Genomic DNA, 12,384 nt, shown 5'->3' with positions numbered 1-12,384 from the left:
AAATCATTCCTCATGTGCACATGCTCAATAATTCTGGCCAAATCAAAAAGAATGCAGGAAATTTCCCTGTAGCCACTTTCCTGAGTTCTGTTGTGGCTGCAGGCTGGGCTGTGAGAATGAAAGAACATGTGATCTGTCACTTATTATAACTTTTGGACTTTCCAGTTGCCATTGGATGTTGAATGCAGGGCTGTGTCACCATTTATAGATCTTCAGTGTCACACCTTGAATTTGAGGAATGCTCTTGTTTATTGGGTGCCAGTTTAAAATGAGACATTGATGTAAGTCCTGCATTTTGCCAGAGTACAACAATGGGTTTAGTACCAGTCTTAGGGAATGTGAGTCTTGAAACTTGCTAAGGTGATTCTTTTTCTATATACATTTTGTGTTTGTGTGTGTTCATTGGCTATTCATTCAGTCTAGATGAAAAGATATGACCAAATCACGCAGGACAGGCTCACAAGTCGCTTCTCTGTCTGTCAAGATAGAAAGTGAAGGTGGGCAGTGGTGAGAACAGGTTTTTTGGAAAGGTGAAATTCAATAAGGTCAACTTTTCTATTTTATTTTTTATCTTATTTTATTTTATTTTTATTTTGAGATGAAGTCTTGCTCTGTTGCCCAGGCTGGAGTGCAGTGGTGCGATCTCAGCTCACTGCAACCTCTGCCTCCCGAGTTCAAGCGATTCTCCTGCTTCAGCCTCCCAAGTAGCTGGGATTACAGGCACCCGCCACCAAGCTCAGCTAATTTTTGTATTTTTAGCAGAGACAGGGTTTTACCATGTTTGGCCAGTCTGGTCTCAAACTCCTGACCTCAGGTGACCTGCCCGCCTCGGCTTCCCAAAGTGCTGGGATTACAGGCGTGAGCCACCGCGCCTGGCCAACGGTCAACTTTAAAAAAACCAAAACAAACATTTTCTGAAAGCAATATTTTCTACGAGTTACAAAGGGTCCAAAGTATTGTTTTTCACTGGGCAAACAAAATGAGCTCAAATGGAGCTGATGTCTGTGCTCTACCTCCCAGCTCAGCCGTAATGAGTTTTGTTATCAGCAGCAGTTTATTGAAGCATGAAATACTGATGCTGAAGTTGTGTCTCTATCTTCGGTCTCTTTTCAATTAAGTGCCTTCTAAAAGTGAATTCATACTGAGGTTTCAGTTTTGAATACTTTGAAGAGTTTAAGTTACTTTTCTAGTTTTAATGAATGGTTAAACCACTTAATGTATTTGGAATTTGATTTGGGTAAATATAAATTGCAAAGGTACATGTTTGCTTATTGTTTTTTAAAATCAGCTGACCTTTTCTATAGATTTCAGGAAATGTTTAAATGTTTTCTTTTAGGCCCAATATTCTCAAGAGGTAGACCACTGAGATTTTTCTAAGGAAATTTGGTGTCTACCCTGCATAACTGGACAGGCTTGGCACTGGACGTTAAATGCAGGGCTGTGTCACTATTTGTAGATCTTCAGTGTCACACCTTGAATTTGAGAAATGCTCTTGTTTATTGGATGCCAGTTTAAAATGAGACATTGTTGTAAGTCCTGCATTTTGCTAGAGTAGAACAATGGGTTTAGTACCAGTATCAGGGAACGTGAGTCACTCGCAGAGTCAAAAAACAACTGGTGATCACTTTGGAGAACAATTTGATTTCCCAGGTACCAAATAAGGGAGCTCTTTTGTCAAACTTTGCATCTCTAAAAGAACACCTTCTTTGTCTTAGGGTCCTGCTGGGGGTGAGAAAAGAGACCCACTAAACAGAGCTCAGTTAGCTTAGGCTGTTTCCATGAAAAGCCCCCTGCTTGTGGGTGGGAAAGCAACCTTGGCCAGTCTTAAAGGTTAGAGAAAAACTGTTGGGTTTGTCACATCTTATACCACACGAGGGTATAGTTTTCTTGTTCTGTTACATTCATTTCCTCTTCCAAACAATCTATTGGGGAGAAAGAACAAATCCAAGTCTGAGAAGCCTCTTGATGTGGAAATCTGCAAAAAACAAGAGCAAGGCTGGGCGCGGTGGCTCACGCCTGTAATCCCAGCACTTTGGGAGGCCGAGGCAGGCGGATCAGGAGGTCAGGAGATCGAGACCATCCTTGCTAACACGGTGAAACCCTGTCTCTACTAAAAATACAAAAAAAATTAGCCGGGCGTGGTGGCGGGCGCCTGTAGTCCCAGCTACTTCGGAGGCTGAGGCAGGAGAATGACGTGAACCTGGGAGGCGGAGCTTGCAGTGAGCCGAGTTTGCGCCACTGCACTCCAGCCTGGGCGACAGAACGAGACTCCGTCTCAAAACAAAACAAAACAAAACAAACAAAAAAACCAAGACGAAATTCACACAAAGGTTTTTATTTTCTCTTCCCCTGCCACAGGTGAATTTTGTGGTATGCCAGCTTGTTGCTCTGTTTGCTGCTTTCTGGTTTCGCATCTACTTACGTCCTGGTACAACCAGCTCTGATGTCCGGCATGCGGTTGCCACCATTTTTGGCATCTATTTTGTCATCTTTTGTTTCGGCTGGTGAGTATGAGCCTCATATATTCTAATATTGGTCATTTGGATGTTTTGTGGCAATGTCCTTGGAATTGCACTAAAGCCAGAAATAGATGGCATTATAAAATATGTATTGTAAAATTTTATATTGTAAATACCTTATAGTAGGATAATGAGGACATTGCAGGACTCTCCATTTACTGTAAGAGCCAATAAATTGACCATCCATTGGAAGTCAGTATAGTTCACTTTTTCTTTTTTTTAATTAATTAATTAATTAATTAATTTATTTATTTATTTATTTATTTTTTATTTTTTTTTTTTGAGACGGAGTCTCGCTCTGTCGCCCAGGCTGTAGTGCAGTGGCGCGATCTTGGCTCACTGCGACCTCCGCCTCCTGGGTTCAAGTGATTCTCCTGCCTCAGCCTCTTGAGTCGCTGGGATTACAGGTGCACATCACCATGCCCAGGTAATTTTTTTTGTATTTTTTTTAGTAGAGACGGGGTTTCACCGTGTTGCCCAGGCTGGTTGCAAACGCCTGAGCTCAGGCGATCCATCCGCCTTGGCCTCCCAAAGTGTTAGGATTACAGGCATGAGCCACCATCCCCAGCCCATTTTTTCTTAAAATTAGACTTCTACAGATCCCTCCCAATCATGTAAATGGGATGCTGTAAGGTTTAATTTTTCCCAAAAGGAACCTTTCCTAACTATCGTAGATGTTGGTGTATTTCTTGTATTACTGCTAGAGACGTGGGTATAAGTCCTGGATTTCACCAGAGTAGAACAATGCGTTTAGTGCAGATCTTGGGAAATGTGAATCATTCTTTAACAGAGAAAGCTGGTCAATTGTACTTTCCTCTACGAGTAAGCTGGGCAAATACCCTGAAAGGTGTTAGGGAAGAAGCTTTGGAAACCAACATATTGAGAAGTACACCTTCAGGAATTTTGTGAATTTGTTCAGGGTACTATACTAGAATTCTGCCCCTATTCCTTCAACAAGTATCTGAGAAAGGATGAGTATTTTAAATCAGCCACCAGGTAGAAGTCTCGGTATCTTGGGAAGCCCAGTTTAAAAAATAAAGTCTTAAAGAAAGAACTCATCTCTCTGGACTCTCAATTGCATATGGGAAAAAAGTGTAAGCGTTCCATTTATGGATTCCTGACATTATTAGCCCTGCAGTTGGCAAACTGTGTCGTTATGATACAGCATCTTAATTACATAGAAGAAAAATATTTGGCTTATTTTCTCTCACATAAACATGAGTTACTGATCATTGATCATTTGTGTTTTTGGCAGGGGTAGTGATGGATTCACAGTTTTGGTGACCAATAGCTGTGTTAATATGAAATATATTCATTACTCCTCCCCCTACTATTATGTCTTAAAGGTACTCTGTGCATCTTTTTGTGCTGGTGTTAATGTGCTATGCAATCATGGTCACTGCTAGTGTATCCAATATTCACAGGTAAGATACTGGGAATGAACAATGCAAGGTGAGATTTTCTTTTTTTTGTGATCTTTGAAATATATTTCCAGTGTAAAGATGGACCTTACCCATTTTCCACAAGTGGTATATCTTAGTTTATCTAGAATATCAGGAGGGATGGGGAACCCTAAAGGCTGGAGTCTTCAGAGAAGGCTTTATGAAAAAGATCAATGCAAATTGGGCCTCAGGTGAAAGAGAATATGTCATGACTAGGCTGCTCTATTTGTGACAGCCCGAAACTGGAAGCAACTCAAATGTTCAACACAATGAAAATAATGAAAAGGCTGGGCGTGGTGGCTCACACCTGTAATCCCAGCACTTTGGGAGGCAGAGGTGGGCAGATTGCCTGAGGTCAAGAGTTCAAGACCAGCCTGGGCAGCATGGTGAAACCTCGTCTCTACTAAAAATACAAAAAAAAAAAACCCAAAAAAAATTAGCTGGGCGTAGTGGTGCGCACCTATAGTCCCAGCTACTCAGGGACGCTGAGGCAGGAGAATCACTTGAACCCAGGAGGCAGAGGTTGCAGTGGGCCAAGATTGTGCTACAACACTCCAGCCTGGGTGACAGAGGGAAACTCCTCTGTCAAAAAAAAAAAAAAAAAGGAAAAAGAAAAAGAAAATAATGAAAGATCGGTATACTCAATGTCGTGGATAAATCTCAAAACAAATATGCTGAATGAAGGAAGCCACACAAATTCTATTCTAGAAAATGCAAACTAATCTATAGTGACAAAAGCTCACAAGTTAACTGGGATGGTGCAGGGAGCTGTGGAAGGAATCACAAAGAGGGATGAGGAAAGTTCTAGGGGGTGATGGATGTCTCCACCCTCTTGAATCTGGTGATCGTTTTCTGGGTATCTATATATATCAAATATATATATATGTTAAATTGTATACTTTCTACGTGTACACTAAAACTGTTAAAAAAGAAATATTTTTACGATGATGTTTTGATTTCAAAGTACAGAGGTAGTTTAAGTCTACCTTGGAGGCAGCATGCTTGGATAATCAACTGAGATACCTGGGTATCTGTTTTGCATGGTCTCTGTTTCACATGGTCTTTCTGAAAACTCAGGATTAGCTCTGCCTTTTGGGAATGCTGCAATGTAAGTTCTATGAAAACAAAGATTTCTCTCTCTCTCTTTCACTGTTGTATCCTCCAAGCCGGGAACAATACCTGGCACAAGTAAGAGCTCAATAAATATTTATGGAATGAATGACTGAATTACTTTTAAAAGATATTTGTCCTTTTATGGCTTCTGACGGCCTCTCTGAAAAGCAGGTGCCTTATTTCAGCTTCAGAAAGCCATTTGATTAATCACTATTAGCACAGTAGTTTTCCTCCTTAAAAACATTGAAATTTAACTTTTCACTGTATGATCTTTTAGTTACTTATAACAAATTTTTGGTTTCCCAGGGAAAATATTTTTTTCTGCTTTTACATTTTATAGTCATTCAACATAGAATCCAAAGGAGCTCTGAAAATTCGAATTCTAATCATCTCTCTTCTCAGTGCCCTGCTTGAAGGGGATAGTGTCACTTCTTCTAGAAAGGAAATAGGAAATCCATTTTTCTAATTTGGAAAGAATGGGTTTTGGAAATGTTTCATATGATGACAAAATGATTATAAAAGCTTTTATTTTTTAACTAGAGGATGAAAAGGCTTGGCTTTTCCAAAACTTGGTTTTGGAAGCAATTACATAGTAAATTATTAATAATAATGTTGGTGCAACTGTATAGCACATTCCCAACTTCCTTACAAATTGCAGCTTGTCAGCTCTTCCCACATTTGTGTGATGCTGATGGGATGTGGTCCATTTTTCAGAGGGTCAGGAACTTGACACGCACACTTGTTTCATATCAGGCCTAGGTTCACTGTGTTCAATTCCAGTGTCTAGGAATGGAATACTCTGGCCTTGGCAGAGCCATGTGGTTTACAGACAGGGTATGACGGTGCCACCACAGTATTACTGTGGTAGCAGGGGGCTCTGCCATCAGACCAAGAAGGAAAGAGGCCAGCACAAGATGTTCCTTTTTTTGTTTGGTTTTTTTTTTTTTTTTTTTGAGACAGAGTCTCACTCTGTTGCCCAGGCTGGAGTGCAGTGATGTGATCTCGGCTTACTGCAACCTCCACCTCCCGGGTTCAAGTGATTTTCCTGCCTCAGCCTTCCGAGTAGCTGGGACTACAGGCGCGTGCCACTACACCTGGCTAATTTTTGTATTTTTAGTCGAGACGGGGTTTCACTATGTTGGCCAGGATGGTCTCAATCTCTTGACCTAGTGATCTGCCTGCCTCAGCCTTCCAAAGTGCTGGGATTACAGGTGTGAGCCACCGTGCCTGGCTGATGCCCCTCTTGGTTTGCTCTTGTGGCTGCCAATATTGCCGAAGTGGAAATTGTTTCACAGTTCCCCTTGGATGAACTCAATGTAAATTTTTTTAAAATCTCAACGTTGTTTCCTGTTTATGGAAAGAGCTCTAGGCTGGAGTCAGGAAATCAAGATCCTCCTAGTAGTGTGAATTTGGACTGGTCATGCAACTTCTCCATATGTCACATTTCCCTCCTGCAAAATGCTGGTTTTGCAGCAGTTTGAACGCAAGTTCCCTTCATTACCATGATGTCATGATTCTGTATGAATTGCTCTCCTCTTTACTTCACTGAATCAGTGATAAGAGTTCTGCTACATGGCTGAGAAGAGGAGGGAAAGATTACTATTTGCTGCCATATGAAACTAACCCTTTGTTTTTTGAGATGGAACCTCACTCTGTTGCCCAGGCTATAGTGCGATAGCGTGGTCTTGGCTTGTCTGCAACCTCTTCCTCCCCAGTTCAAGTGATTCTCCTGCCTCAGCCTCCCAAGTAGCTGAGATTACAGGCACCTACCACCACACTCAGCTAATTTTTATAATTTTAGTAGAGACAGGGTTTCACCATGTTGGCCAGGATGGTCTTGAACTGACCTTACGTGATTTGCCTGCCTCGGCTTCCCAAAATGCTGGGATTATAAGCATGAGCCATCATGCCTGGCCAAAACTAACCCATTTCTGGACTGTTATTCAGCATTTGTTTAGAGGGTTTTGGGGATACCCCCTGTGTTTCCTTCCCAAGCCACTGTGTTGGGCAGAAGTCACAGGCATCAGTTTACCCTACGTGAACCAACTGGAGCAGAACATGGCTTGTGTCTCCTGGGGCAGAGGGCCTAGCGTGAGAACTTGGTGATGCAGTTATCAATGCTGGAGTCTGTCCTTTGTGCCAAGTCTTAAGCCAAGCTCTTTTTAATATACTTTATTTCATTGTTAACACATAAACTATTATGTAATATATCATTTAATTTTTTATTTAATGTTTCATTATTTCAAATATATTAACTCTAGGACAACACTATGGAATATAGTTTTTTTTCTTTCTGAAATGAGACAATAAAAGCTCAGAGAGGTAAATAAGTAAACAGTTTGATGAATTTCCACAAAGTGAACACACCCATGTAACCACCATGTCTGATGTGTCAGTCTCTTTTTTTTTTTTTTTGAGACGGAGTTTGCTCTCGTTGCCCAGTCTGGAGTGCGATGGCGCAATCTTGGCTCACTGCAACCTCTGCCTCCTGGATTCAAGTGATTCTCCTGCCTAAGCCTCCCAAGAGGCTGGGATTATAGGCATGCACCACCACCCCTGGCTAATTTTGTATTTTTAGTAGAGACAGGGTTTCTCCATATTGGTCAGGCTGGTCTCGAACCCCTGACCTCAGGTGATCCGCCCGCCTTGGCCTCCCAAAGTGCTGGGATAACAGGCGTGAGCCATCACACCCAGCCTCATGTGCCAATCTCTACCACACCTCTCCTTCCTAGAATAACTGCTTCACCAACTTCTCCCACCATGGATTACTTCTGCCAGTGCTGGGATTTGAGCTCATTCTGGTCTGTGTATTTGTCTGTTTTCACACTGCTGATAAAGACATACCTGAGACTGGGTAATTTATATACAAAAAGAAGTTTAGTGGACTCACAGTTCCACGTGGCTGGAGAGGCCTCACAATCATGGTGGAAGGCAAAAGGCATGTCTTACATGGCAGCAGGCAAGAGAGAACTTGTGTAGGGGAAATCCCCTTTACAAAACCATCAGATCTTGTGGGACTTACTCACTATCACGAGAACAGCATAGGAAAGACTCGCCCCCATGATTCAATTACCTCCCACTGGGTCCCTCCCACAACACGTGGGAATTTGGGAGCTACAATTTAAGATGAGATTTCGGTGGGGACACAGCCAAACCGTATCAGTCAGTCTGTAGAATACATGTTCTCACTACCACTTCTTGATTCCTTAGATGTTTTAGGTTTGGCCAGGGCATGAATGCGTTGCCCTGTTGTATTGGGACTCAGCACTTGGTGCCATCCTGGGCAGGCGGGGTCCTACTAAATTGAGTTGAACTTGCTTTCTTTCTTCTGTGGGCCAGGGTAAGGTACAGATCTAACTCCTGTTGAGGACAAAGGGGAAGCAGCAGGCATGGCTGCATTGGAATGGGTTCTGGAAGAATCTATCTTTTGAGTCTGCTTTGCGTTTCTGCCTTGAGCTTCATGAACTGGCTGGAGAAAGGGAACAGTTGCTGGAGATGACAAGGCCTAACTTCATTCCACTTCTGCTTCAACTCCTAAGGGAGTTATTTTCTCTTAGTCATTTGCATTGTTGACCATCTTCTTGGTTTGGAAGTGGTTTAGGATGAACCCATGATAGAGAAAAAATCTTTTCTGCATAGTAACTTCTTTGTTTGCAAATAATGGTAAAGAGCACATAAAAGTTACACAGTGATTTAGAGTTTACAGAACTCCTTCATGTTATTTAAAATCTGGCTATCCCTTGCTACCGAATGAATTTTTATTATCCCTACTTTACTATTCCTTAGGCTGATCTAGTCTTCATGAGTTATTTTAATGTGAATATGTGATTTCAATATAATTTAACATCAGAAAATACCTCTTCCCTGTTTTATGGCATATATTTAAAAGTTATACCTTCCGAATTTATGTCTATATCCGATGGGCTCCGGAACCACTTAAAATGTGTAATGTATTCATTTCAGTTCATTTCAACTAACAGTAACTGAACCCCTCCCATGTGTCAGGTCAAGGGTGGGGACGTTCAAGGTCACAATGAGTTGGGGAAACAGACACATACACAAATAATTCTAATATTGTAATTATGTGTGTTAGCATGTAATACCAGAGACATACAGACAGTGGAGCAATGAATTGTGCTGGGGATGGGGAACAGGAGATGTGGTAGGATGCATGGAGTAAGACCAAGCCAAGTAACATAGAAGAGGTGACTTTGGAGCTGAGCCTTATCTGAAAATTAGGCAGGTTCCAGATAGACTATTGGATGGAGATGGGAATTGCAGTCAGAAGAAGGAGCATGCAGAAAGACATCTTGCCTGAAAATACAGGGTTTCATTGTGGAACATGAGCAGTGCAGTGTCATTTGAGAGTAAGGTAAACATGGAGCATGGCTGGAGATGAGTCCAGGAAGGCGAGGTAGAGCTTAGCGTGTGAAGCACCTTGCATGCTGTGTTCAGGGGTTGCAATTTCACTAGATAGTGGGATCCACTGGAGACTTTTAAGAAGAGTAGCTGTCACATAGTTGTTTATTCATTTGACACACAGTAGGTGAATATGGTGAACAAAGCATAGGTGACCATCTTTGCCCTCATGGAGCTTACAGTTTGGTCAGGGAGATGGGTGTTAATCAGATTGTCTTAGCTGGGACTGCTATAACAAAGTACTGTATGTAGAGTGGGTGGCTTATAAACAACAGAAATGTATTAATATTCCTCAGTTCTGGAGGCTGGAGATCTGAAATCAGGGTTCCAGCATGTTCTGGTGAGGACTCTCTTCTGGGTTACAGACTGCCGTCTTCTTGTATCCTCACATAGCACAAAGTGAGTGCTCTCTGGGGTCTCTTTTGTAAGAGGGCTAATCCCATTTATGAAGGCTCTGCTCTCATAACCTAGTCACCTCCCAAAGGTCCCACCTCCTAATGTTGAGGGTTAGCATTTAAACATAGGAATTTTAGGGAGACATAATCATTCATTGCACAGCTTATCACCTATATTTATAATTACACATTTGACAAGTACTTATATGTGGATGTGTGTGTTTGTGTGGCTTGTGTGTGTATTGCTAGTGTATACTATAAGGCAGTCAGGAACACATCTCTGAAGGAAGCCAGGGAATGCTCATGAGTAAGTGGTAATTGAAACCTGAGGCATGGAAGGGCAGGGTCCCAAGCTGAGCTTGGACATACTAACACTTGAGGGGTAGGTGGAGGAAGGAAAGCTGAGCAAGGAGCCTTGGAGGAATTAACCAGAGAGGTGGGAAGAAAACAGGAGAATGGAAGCCAAGAGAATAAAGTGTTTAAAGATGAAGTGGTCAGCAGTATGGTGATGATTTGTACTTTACAAAAATCATTATGCAAACATGAGGGCTGTGAAGAGGAGAATCTTGAGTGCAAGACCTTACAGGTAGTGATTCCCAGCCCTGGCTGCGCACTGCCATTACACCTACCAGGTGTGGCAGGAATTAAACAGGAATAGCAGGGAGCAAGTCCCAGGGATCTGTGGTTTGCAAAGCTCCATTCCATTATGCAGCTAAGGCTGACAGCCAATGTAGTGGTCCAGGTGAGAAGAGATGAGGGGTTCAGCTAGAGTAGTGGGTGGAAAGGTGGCCTGGGATGTCGTCAGACCAGATAGGACATTGTGACCAACTGCACGTGAAGGATGAAAGAGAGGAAGAGGGGAACATTAATTGAGTGCATTATTGCTATGCATAATAATCTGATCATCTATGTTTTTGCTTTCAGATATTCCTTTTTTGTAGCAATGGGATATCTTACAATATGCCACATCAGCCGAATATACATCTTCCACTATGGAATTCTCACTACGGATTTTTCTGGGTAAGTATCTTACATTAGAGAGAGGGGTTTTACTGCTGACTTTGACTTGGTCTCTTGGGGTCTGTAAACATCAAGGGTGCACAAAAGAATCGTTGGTGCTTGGTTAAATCAGTTGGTAAGACACTGCTAATGGGATTGAGGCTGGAGACTTGATTGATTGGTAGGACTGTTAGCTCTGCTATGCTGTAAGACAGGAACCACAAAGTACAGCCTGTGCGCCATATCTGTCCTGCTACCTGTCTTTGTACAGTTATATTGGAACGCAACCAGGCACTTAGCCATTTATGTATTGTCTATGAGTGCTTTTGCACTACAGTGGCAGAGTTGAGTAGTTGTGAAAAGCCACGTGGCCTGCAAAGCCTGGAATATTTACTATTTGGTTCTTTACAGAAAAACTTTGTCAACCCCTGTTCTGAGGTTCTTAACTCAGGGTTGGTTTTCATCTCTCTTTTTTTAAACTTTTTAAAAAAATTTAGGGGTACATGTGCAGGTTTGTTACATAGGCAAACCTGTGTCATGGGAGTTTGTTGTACAGATTATTTCGTCACCCAGGTATTAAGCCTAGTACCCATTGGTTATTCTTCCTGATCCTCTCCCTCCTCCAATCCTCCACCTTCTGAGAGGCTCCAGGTCTGTGGTTCTTTCCACGTAGTCTCATCATTTAGAAGTGAGAACATGCAGTATTTGCTTTTCTATCCCTGTGTTAGGGTTTTCATCTCTCGCTAGTTAATAATATAGAAATTCTTTGATACTAGCTGATAAGTACCTACTACCCTGACCCCTTTGAGTGTTCCTGACTGCCCTTGCCCCGGCCCCCAGGCCTCCTTGACCTTCAGCAACTAGAAGGATAATTTCTAAACATTTTGTCTATTACCATGGCCTTAATGTGGTGGGCCACGCATTCTGATTGGTCACATGGTAAAGACTATGGATGGAAAACTGAGAATTCTATGCCCTGTTGAGGTTAGTTCAGGAACAACTTTTTGTGAATCTTGAGGAATGAACATTACAGCAGAGCTGTTCCTGGTGATGCGTGATCTGTTATCCACGTTACTTCCCGGGAGTTTAGTTGTGTTCTCTGCAGGCAGCCTGAGGTCAGGGACCCAAGCTCCCCAGTCAGGTTGGACTGTACCTCCTTCAGTGAGTTGTTGGCAACTAGGCAGTGAAATGAGGGAGTGACCGCTCATGGCTCATGAACTTTGCAAGTTGTGCAACTCAACTGTCCCACCTTGAAAGGGCTCAGGAAGGTAAAGAGTGTTGTTTTGGGACACAGGGATTGTTGCATTTAAATCTTTGTGACTGTGGTTTGGTCTCAGACTGGTTTTTCATGCATAAGTTCTTCTTACCCTCAGGCATCTGGGATTTTACCTGTTTTTCTTCCAGTGGTGTGCCCTCTCCGCCACATTGTGGAGCGTGCTTTCTCAATCCTTCAGGAAGAAATTCAAAGACTTTGTTTTTTAACAATATGCAGGATGG

The 12,384-nt window shown here is 42.3% G+C and overlaps 1 protein-coding gene across 5 annotated transcripts in view; it reads left to right on the top strand.

Annotated features, from left to right (window-relative positions):
• The window catches only part of MBOAT1 (membrane bound glycerophospholipid O-acyltransferase 1), a 112,786-nt gene that overhangs the window by 57,342 nt on the left and 43,060 nt on the right, over positions 1 to 12,384 (top strand). For 4 of the 5 annotated variants that reach the window (NM_001080480.3, XM_006714999.3, XM_011514313.4 and 1 more), the window contains exons 2-4: positions 2,359 to 2,504; positions 3,866 to 3,943; positions 10,813 to 10,908. In NM_001080480.3, coding sequence (NP_001073949.1) covers positions 2,359 to 2,504; positions 3,866 to 3,943; positions 10,813 to 10,908 — 320 coding nt within the window. The remainder of the gene's footprint in view (positions 1 to 2,358; positions 2,505 to 3,865; positions 3,944 to 10,812; positions 10,909 to 12,384) is intronic. The other variant, NR_073465.2, reaches the window with a different exon arrangement.

This window comes from Homo sapiens, chromosome 6, assembly GCF_000001405.40.
Source record: "Homo sapiens chromosome 6, GRCh38.p14 Primary Assembly".
NCBI classification, from domain to species: Eukaryota; Metazoa; Chordata; class Mammalia; order Primates; family Hominidae; genus Homo; species Homo sapiens.
This window is presented reverse-complemented; position numbering and strand designations above follow the sequence as displayed.